Genomic DNA, 8,820 nt, shown 5'->3' with positions numbered 1-8,820 from the left:
CTTACAGACTTTACAAACAGAGTGTTTCCTAACTGCTCTATGAACAGAAAGGTTAAACTCTGTGTGTTGAACGAACACATCACAACGCAGTTTGTGGGAATGATTCTGTCTAGTTTTGAAACGAAGATATTTCCTTTTCTGCCATTGACCTTAAAGCGCTTGAAATCTACACTTGCAAATTGCACAAATAGAGTGTTTCAAATCTGCTCTGTCTAAGGGAACGTTCAACTCTGTGAGTTGAATGCACACAACACAAGGAAGTTACTGGGAATTCTTCTGTCTAGCCTTACATGAAAAAAACACGTTTCCAACGAAGGCCTCTAAGTGGTCAAAATATCCATGTGCAGACTTTACAAACAGAGTGTTTCCTAACTGCTCTATGAAAAGAAAGGTTAAACTCTGTGAGTTCAACGCCCACATCACAAAGGAGTTTCTGAGAATCATTCTGTCTAGTTTCTATACGAAGATATTTCCTTTTCTACCATTGACCACAAAGCGGCTGAAATCTCCACTTGCAAATTCCACAAAAAGAGTGTTTCAAGTCTGCTCTGTGTAAAGGATCGTTCAACACTGTGAGTTGAATACACACAACACAAGGAAGTTACTGACAATTCTTCTGTCTAGCAGAATATGAAGAAATCCCGTTTCCAACGAAAGCCTCAAAGAGGTCTGAATATCCACTTGCAGACTTTACAAACAGAGTGTTTCCTAACTGCTCTATGAAAAGAAAGGTTAAACTCTGTGAGTTGAACGCACATATCACAAAGGAGTTTCTGAGAATCATTCTGTCTAGTTTCTATACGAAGATATATCCTATTCTACAATTGACCTCAAAGCGGCTGAAATCTCCACTTGCAAATTCCACAAAAAGAGTGTTTCAAGTCTGCTCTGTGTAAAGGATCGTTCAACTCTGTGAGTTGAATACACACAACACAAGGAAGTGACTGAGAATTCTTCTGTCTAGCAGAATATGAAGAAATCCCGTTTCCAACGAAGGCCTCAAGGAGGTCTGAATATCCACTTGCAGACTTTACAAACAGAGTGTTTCCTAACTGCTCTATGAAAAGAAAGGTTAAACTCTGTGAGTTGAACGCACACATCACAAAGGAGTTTCTGAGAATCATTCTGTCTTGTTTCTATACGAAGATATTTCCTTTTCTACCATTGACCTCAAAGCGGCTGAAATCTCCACTTGCAAATTCCACAAAAAGAGTGTTTCAAGTCTGCTCTGTGTAAAGGATCGTTCAACTCTGTGAGTTGAATACACACAACACAAGGAAGTTACTGAGAATTCATCTGTCTAGCAGAATAGGAAGAAATCCCGTTTCCAACGAAGGCCACAAGATGTCAGAATATCCACTTACAGACTTTACAAACAGAGCGTTTCCTAACTGCTCTATGAACAGAAAGGTTAAACTCTGTGAGTTGAACAAACACATCACAACGCAGTTTGTGGGAATGATTCTGTCTAGTTTTGAAACGAAGATATTTCCTTTTCTGCCATTGACCTTAAAGCGCTTGAAATCTACACTTGCAAATTGCACAAATAGAGTGTTTCAAATCTGCTCTGTCTAAGGGAACGTTCAACTCTGTGAGTTGAATGCACACAACACAAGGAAGTTACTGGGAATTCTTCTGTCTAGCCTTACATGAGAAAAAACCGTTTCCAAAGAAGGCCTCTAAGTGGTCAAAATATCTACGTGCAGACTTTACAAACAGAGTGTTTCCAAACTGCTGAATGAAAAGAAAAGTTAAACTCTGAGAGTTGAACGCACACATCACAGAGCAGTTACTGAGAATGATTCTGTCTAGTTTTTATACGAAGATATTTCCTTTTCTGCCTTTGGCCCCAAAGCGCTTGAAATCTCCACTTGCAAATACCACAAAAACAGTGTTTCAAATCTGCTCTCTCTAAATGAAAGTTCAACTCTGTCAGTTGAATACACACAACACAAGGAAATTACTGAGAATTCTTCTGTCTAGCATAATATGAAAAAATACGGTTTCCAACGAAGGCCTCAAGGGGGTCTGAATATCCACTTGCAGACTTTACAAACAGAGTGTTTCCTAACTGCTCTATGAAAAGAAATGTTAAACTCAGTGAGTTGAAAGCACACATCATAAAGGAGTTTCTGAGAATCATTCTATCTAGTTTTTATACGAAGATATTTCCTTTTCTACCATTTACCACAAAGCGGCTGAAATCTCCACTTGCAAATTCCAGAAAAAGAGTGTTTCAAGTCTGCTCTGTGTAAAGGATCGTTCAACTCTGTGAGTTGAATACACACAACACAAGGAAGTTACTGAGAATTCTTCTGTCTAGCATAAAAAGTAAACAGAAGCATTCTCAAAAACTCCTTTGTGAGGCTTGTGTTCAACTCCCAGAGGATAACATTGCTTTTCATAGAGCAGTTTTGAAACATTCTTTTCGTTGAGTCTCCAAGTGGACATTTGGAGCGCTTTCAGGCCTGTGGTGGAAAAGGAAATATCTTCACATAAAAACTAGAGAGAAGCATTGTCAGAAACTTCTTTGTGATGATTGCATTCAACTCACGGAGTTGAAGATTCCTTTTGATACAGCAGTTTGGAAACACTCTTTCGGTGGAATCTGCAAGCGGATATGTGGACCTCTTTGAACATTTCGATGGAAAAGGGATTATCTTCCCATAAAAGCTAAACGGAAGCATGCTCAGGAACTTCTTTGTGATATTTGGATTCAACTCACAGAGTTGTACTTTCCTTTTGATAGAGCAGCTTTGAAACCCTCTCTTTCTAGCATCTGCAAGGGGACATTTGGAGGGCTTCGAGGCCTGGGGTGGAAAAGGAAATATCTGCTCATAAAAGCTACATGGAAGCATTCTGAGAAACGGCCTTGTGATGATTGCATTCAAGTCACAGAGTTGAACATTCCCTTTGATAGAGCCGTTTGGAAACACACTTTTGGTAGAATCTGAAAGGGGAGATTTGGACCGCTTTGAGGCCTTTGGCAGGAGAGGATATAACTGCCCATAAAAACTAGACAGTAGCATTCCCAGGAAACACTTTGTGACGATTGAGTTCAACTCACAGAGCTGAACATTCCTTTGGATGGAGCAGTTTCAAAACACACTTTCTGTAGAATCTGCAAGTGGATATTTGGACCTTTCTGAGGATTTCTTTGGATACGGGAGAAAACTCACCTATCTAAACAGAAGCATTCTCAGAACCTTCTTCGTGATGCTTGCATTCAACTCACAGTGTTGAACCTTTCTCTGATAGTTCAGGTTTGAAACACTCCTTCTGCAGAATCTGCAAGTGGAGATTTGGACCTCTTTGAGGCCTATCGTAGTAAAGGAAATAACTTCATCCTAAAACAAGACAGAAGCATTCTCAGAAAATTCTTTGCAATGATTGAGTTTACGTCACAGAGCTGAGCATATCTTCTGATGGAGCATGTTCAAAACACATTTTTGTAGAATATGCAAGTGGATATTTGGACTTCTCTGAGAATTTCTTTGGAAACGGGATAAACCTCACATAACTGAAGAGAAACATTCCCAGAACTTCTTTGTGATGTTGGCATTCAACTGACAGAGTTGAACCTTCCCTTGTGAGTTCAGGTTGAAACGCTCTTTTCGTAGTATCTGCAAGTGGAGATTTGTAACGCTTTGAGGCCTACGGTAGTAAAGGAAACAGCTTCATGTAAAAACTGGACAGAAGCATTCTCAGAAAATACTTTGTGATGATTGCGTTTAACTCACAGAGCTGAACATTCCTTTGGGTGGAGCAGTTTGGAAACACACGTTTTGTAGACTCTGCAGGTGGACATTTGGACTTCTCTGAGGATTTCATTGGAAAAGGGATAACGTCACCTAACTAAACAGAAGCTTTCGCAGAAACATCTTTCTGACGTTTGCATTCAATGTCCAGAGCTGAACCTTCCTTTGATAGTTCACGTTTGAAACACTCTTGTTGGAGGACCTGCAAGTGGATATTTGGAGCACTTTGTGGCCTTCGTTGGAAACGGGTATATCTTCACATAAAACCTAGACAGAAGCCTTCTCAGAAACTTCTCTGTGATGATTGCATTCAACTCACAGAGTTGAACATTCCTTTTGATAGAGCAGTTTTGAAACTCTCTTTTTCTAGCATCTGCAAAGGGATAGGTGGAACTCTGTGAAGATTTCTTTGGAAACGGGAATATCTTCACGTAAAAAGTAAACAGAAGCATTCTCAGAAACACCTTTGTGAGGCTTGTGTTCAACTCCCAGAGTATAACATTCCTTTTCATAGAGCAGTTTTGAGACATTCTTTTCGTAGAGTCTCCAAGTGGACATTTGGAGCGCTTTCAGGCCTGTGGTGGAAAAGGAAATATCTTCACATAAAAACTACAGAGAAGCATTGTCAGAAACTTCTTTGTGATGTTGGCATTCAACTGACAGAGTTGAACCTTCCCTTGTGAGTTCAGGTTGAAACGCTCTTTTCGTAGTATCTGCAAGTGGAGATTTTGAATGCTTTGAGGCCTACGGTAGTAAAGGAAACAGCTTCATGTAAAAACTGGACAGAAGCATTCTCAGAAAATACTTTGTGATGATTGAGTTTAACTCACAGAGCTGAACATTCCTTTGGGTGGAGCAGTTTGGAAACACACTTTTTGTAGACTCTGCAGGTGGACATTTGGACCTCTCTGAGGATTTCGTTGGAAACGGGATAACGTCACCTAACTAAACAGAAGCTTTCGCAGAAACTTATTTCTGACGTTTGCATTCAAAGTCCAGAGCTGACCTTTGCTTTGATAGTTCACGTTTGAAACACTCTTGTTGGAGGACCTGCAAGTGGATATTTGGAGCACTTTGTGGCCTTCGTTGGAAACGGGTATATCTTCACATAAAATCTAGACAGAAGCCTTCTCAGAAACTTCTCTGTGATGATTGCATGCAACTCACAGAGTTGAACATTCCTTTTGATAGAGCAGTTTTGAAACTCTCTTTTTCTAGCATCTGCAAAGGGAAGGTGGAACTCTGTGAAGATTTCTTTGGAAACGGGAATATCTTCACGTAAAAAGTAAACAGAAGCATTCTCAGAAACTCCTTTGTGAGGCTTGTGTTCAACTCCCAGAGTATAACATTGCTTTTCATAGAGCAGTTTTGAGACATTCTTTTCGTAGAGTCTCCAAGTGGACATTTGGAGCGCTTTCAGGCCTGTGTTGGAAAAGGAAATATCTTCACATAAAAACTAGAGAGAAGTATTGTCAGAAAATTCTTTGTGATGATGGCATTCAAACCACGGAGTTGAAGATTCCTTATGATACAGCGGTTTGGAAACAGTCTTTCGGTGGAATCTGCAAGCGGATATGTGGACCTCTTTGAACATTTCGATGGAAAAGGGATAATCTTCCCATAAAAGCTAAACGGAAGCATGCTCAGGAACTTCTTTGTGATGTTTGCGTTCAACTCACAGAGTTGTACTTTCCTTTTGATAGAGCAGCTTTGAAACCCTCTCTTTCTAGCATCTGCAAGGGGACATTTGGAGGGCTTCGAGGCCTGGGGTGGAAAAGGAAATATCTTCTCATAAAAGCTACATGGAAGCATTCTCAGAAACTGCTTTGTGGTGATTACATTCAAGTCACAGAGTTGAACATTCCGTTTGATGGAGCCGTTTGGAAACACACTTTTTGTACAATCTGAAAGGGGAGATTTGGACCGCTATGAGGCCTATGGCAGTAGAGGATATAACTGCACATAAAAACTAGACAGTAGCATTCCCAGGAAACACTTGGCGACAATTGAGTTCAACTCACAGAGCTGAACATTCCTTTGGATGGAGCAGTTTCAAAACATACTTTCTGTAGATTCTGCAAGTGGATATTTGGACCTTTCTGAGGATTTCGTTGGATGCGGGAGAAAACTCACCTATCTAAACAGAAGCATTCTCAGAATCTTCTTCGTGATGCTTGCATTCAACTCACAGTGTTGAACCTTTCTCTGATAGTTCAGGTTTGAAACACTCCTTCTGCAGAATCTGCAAGTGGAGATTTGGACCTTTTGAGGCCTATCGTAGTAAAGGAAATAACTTCATCCTAAAACAAGACAGAAGCATTCTCAGAAAATTCTTTGCGATGATTGAATTTAACTCACAGAGCTGAGCATATCTTCTGATGGAGTATGTTCAAAACACACTTTTTGTAGAATATGCAAGTGGATATTTGGACTTCTCTGAGAATTTCGTTGGAAACGGGATAAACCTCACATAACTGAAGAGAAACATTCCCAGAACTTCTTTGTGATGTTGGCATTCAACTGACAGAGTTGAACCTTCCCTTCTGTGTTCAGGTTGAAACGCTCTTTTCGTAGTATCTGCAAGTGGAGATTTGGAATGCTTTGAGGCCTACGGTAGTAAAGGAAACAGCTTCATGTAAAATCTGGACAGAAGCATTCTCAGAAAATACTTTGTGATGATTGAGTTTAACTCACACAGCTGAACATTCCTTTGGGTGGAGCAGTTTGGAAACACACTTTTTGTGGACCCTGCAGGTGGACATTTGGACCTCTCTGAGGATTTCTTTGGAAACGGGATAACGTCACCTAACTAAACAGAAGCTTTCGCAGAAACTTCTTTCTGACGTTTGCATTCAAAGTCCAGAGCTGACCTTTGCTTTGATAGTTCACGGTTGAAACACTCTTGTTGGAGGACCTGCAAGTGGATATTTGGAGCACTTTGTGGCCTTCGTTGGAAACGGGTATATCTTCACATAAAATCTAGACAGAAGCCTTCTCAGAAACTTCTCTGTGATGATTGTATTCAACTCACAGAGTTGAACATTCCTTTTGATAGAGCAGTTTTGAAACTCTCTTTTTCTAGCATCTGCAAAGGGAAGGTGGAACTCTGTGAAGATTTCTTTGGAAACGGGAATATCTTCACGTAAAAAGTAAACAGAAGCATTCTCAGAAACTCCTTTGTGAGGCTTGTGTTCAACTCCCAGAATATAACATTGCTTTTCGTAGAGCAGTTTTGAGACATTCTTTTCGTAGAGTCTCCAAGTGGACATTTGGAGCGCTTTCAGGCCTGTGGTGGAAAAGGAAATATCTTCACATAAAAACTAGAGAGAAGCATTGTCAGAAACTTCTTTGTGATGATTGCATTCAACTCACGGAGCTGAGGATTCCTTTTGATACAGCAGTTTGGAAAGACTCTTTCTGTGGAATCTGCAGGCGGATATGTGGACCTCTTTGAACATTTCGATGGAAAAGGGATAATCTTCCCATAAAAGCTAAACGGAAGCATGCTCAGGAACTTCCTTGTGATGTTTGCATTCAACTCACAGAGTTGTACTTTCCTTTTGATAGAGCAGCTTTGAAACCCTCTCTTTCTAGCATCTGCAAGGGGACATTTGGAGGGCTTCGAGGCCTGGGGTGGAAAAGGAAATATCTTCTCATAAAAGCTACATGGAAGCATTCTCAGAAACTGCTTTGTGATGATTGCATTCAAGTCACAGAGTTGAACATTCCCTTTGATGGAGCCGTTTGGAAACACACTTTTGGTAGAATCTGCAAGGGGAGATTTGGACCGCTTTGAGGCCTATGGCAGTAGAGGATATAACTGCACATAAAAACTAGACAGTAGCATTCCCAGGAAACGCTTTGTGACGATTGAGTTCAACTCACAGAGCTGAACATTCCTTTGGATGGAGGAGTTTCAAAACACACTTTCTGTAGAATCTGCAAGTGGATATTTGGACCTCTCTGAGGATTTCGTTGGATACGGGAGAAAACTCACCTATCTAAACAGAAGCATTCTTAGAACCTTCTTCGTGATGCTTGCATTCAACTCACATTGTTGAACCTTTCTCTGATAGTTCAGGTTTGAAAAACTCCTTCTGCAGAATCTGCAAGTGGAGATTTGGACCTCTTTGAGGCCTATCGTAGTAAAGGAAATAACTTCATCCTAAAACAAGACAGAAGCATTCTCAGAAATTTCTTTGTGATGATTGAGTTTAACTCACAGAGCTGAGCATATCTTTTGATGGAGCATTTTTTTTTTCTTTTTTTTTTATTATACTCTAAGTTTTAGGGTACATGTGCACATTGTGCAGGTCAGTTACATATGTATACATGTGCCATGCTGGTGCACTGCACCCACTAATGTGTCATCTAGCATTAGGTATATCTCCCAGTGCTATCCCTCCCACCTCCCCCGACCCCACCACAGTCCCCAGAGTGTGATATTCCCCTTCCTGTTTCCATGTGATCTCATTGTTCAATTCCCACCTATGAGTGAGAATATGTGGTGTTTTGTTTTTTGTTCTTGCAATAGTTTACTGAGAATGATGGTTTCCAATTTCATCCATGTCCCTACAAAGGATATGAACTCATCATTTTTTATGGCTGCATAGTATTCCGTGGTGTATATGTGCCACATTTTCTTAATCCATTCTATCATTGTTGGACATTTGGGTTGGTTCCAAGTCTTTGCTATTGTGAATAGTGCCGCAATAAACATACGTGTGCATGTGTCTTTATAGCAGCATGATTTATACTCATTTGGGTATATACCCAGTAATGGGATGGTTGGGTCAAATGGTATTTCCAGTTCTAGATCCCTGAGGAATCGCCACACTGTCTTCCACAATGGTTGAACTAGTTTACAGTCCCACCAACAGTGTAAAAGTGTTCCTATTTCTCCACATCCTCTCCAGCACCTGTTGTTTCCTGACTTTTTAATGATTGCCATTCTAACTGGTATGAGATGATATCTCATAGTGGTTTTCAGTTGCATTTCTCTGATGGCCAGTGATGATGAGCATTTCTTCATGTGTTTTTTGGCTGCATAAATGTCTTCTTT

The 8,820-nt window shown here is 40.4% G+C and overlaps 8 annotated features.

Moving 5' to 3' along the window:
• Window positions 949–1,601: an enhancer, noted in NCBI's record as "OCT4-NANOG-H3K27ac-H3K4me1 hESC enhancer chr1:121484782-121485435 (GRCh37/hg19 assembly coordinates)". NCBI's record gives its function as "activates a minimal SCP1, AML or CMV promoter by ChIP-STARR-seq in naive and primed H9 embryonic stem cells {active_cell/tissue: H9 hESC(naive and primed)}" and the evidence as "EXISTENCE:reporter gene assay evidence [ECO:0000049][PMID:30033119]".
• Window positions 1,602–2,256: an enhancer, noted in NCBI's record as "OCT4-NANOG-H3K27ac-H3K4me1 hESC enhancer chr1:121484127-121484781 (GRCh37/hg19 assembly coordinates)". NCBI's record gives its function as "activates a minimal SCP1, AML or CMV promoter by ChIP-STARR-seq in naive and primed H9 embryonic stem cells {active_cell/tissue: H9 hESC(naive and primed)}" and the evidence as "EXISTENCE:reporter gene assay evidence [ECO:0000049][PMID:30033119]".
• Window positions 2,257–2,910: an enhancer, noted in NCBI's record as "OCT4-NANOG-H3K27ac-H3K4me1 hESC enhancer chr1:121483473-121484126 (GRCh37/hg19 assembly coordinates)". NCBI's record gives its function as "activates a minimal SCP1, AML or CMV promoter by ChIP-STARR-seq in naive and primed H9 embryonic stem cells {active_cell/tissue: H9 hESC(naive and primed)}" and the evidence as "EXISTENCE:reporter gene assay evidence [ECO:0000049][PMID:30033119]".
• Window positions 2,911–3,565: an enhancer, noted in NCBI's record as "OCT4-NANOG-H3K27ac hESC enhancer chr1:121482818-121483472 (GRCh37/hg19 assembly coordinates)". NCBI's record gives its function as "activates a minimal SCP1, AML or CMV promoter by ChIP-STARR-seq in naive and primed H9 embryonic stem cells {active_cell/tissue: H9 hESC(naive and primed)}" and the evidence as "EXISTENCE:reporter gene assay evidence [ECO:0000049][PMID:30033119]".
• Window positions 4,323–4,824: an enhancer, noted in NCBI's record as "OCT4 hESC enhancer chr1:121481559-121482060 (GRCh37/hg19 assembly coordinates)". NCBI's record gives its function as "activates a minimal SCP1, AML or CMV promoter by ChIP-STARR-seq in primed H9 embryonic stem cells {active_cell/tissue: H9 hESC(primed)}" and the evidence as "EXISTENCE:reporter gene assay evidence [ECO:0000049][PMID:30033119]".
• Window positions 5,972–6,500: an enhancer, noted in NCBI's record as "OCT4-NANOG hESC enhancer chr1:121479883-121480411 (GRCh37/hg19 assembly coordinates)". NCBI's record gives its function as "activates a minimal SCP1, AML or CMV promoter by ChIP-STARR-seq in naive H9 embryonic stem cells {active_cell/tissue: H9 hESC(naive)}" and the evidence as "EXISTENCE:reporter gene assay evidence [ECO:0000049][PMID:30033119]".
• Window positions 6,796–7,502: an enhancer, noted in NCBI's record as "OCT4-NANOG-H3K27ac-H3K4me1 hESC enhancer chr1:121478881-121479587 (GRCh37/hg19 assembly coordinates)". NCBI's record gives its function as "activates a minimal SCP1, AML or CMV promoter by ChIP-STARR-seq in naive and primed H9 embryonic stem cells {active_cell/tissue: H9 hESC(naive and primed)}" and the evidence as "EXISTENCE:reporter gene assay evidence [ECO:0000049][PMID:30033119]".
• Window positions 7,503–8,209: an enhancer, noted in NCBI's record as "OCT4-NANOG-H3K27ac-H3K4me1 hESC enhancer chr1:121478174-121478880 (GRCh37/hg19 assembly coordinates)". NCBI's record gives its function as "activates a minimal SCP1, AML or CMV promoter by ChIP-STARR-seq in naive and primed H9 embryonic stem cells {active_cell/tissue: H9 hESC(naive and primed)}" and the evidence as "EXISTENCE:reporter gene assay evidence [ECO:0000049][PMID:30033119]".

The sequence above is a fragment of the Homo sapiens genome, chromosome 1 (genome assembly GCF_000001405.40).
Source record: "Homo sapiens chromosome 1, GRCh38.p14 Primary Assembly".
Taxonomy (NCBI): Eukaryota; Metazoa; Chordata; class Mammalia; order Primates; family Hominidae; genus Homo; species Homo sapiens.
The sequence above is the reverse complement of the archived record's forward strand: the minus strand, read 5'-3'. Positions and strand labels throughout refer to the sequence as shown.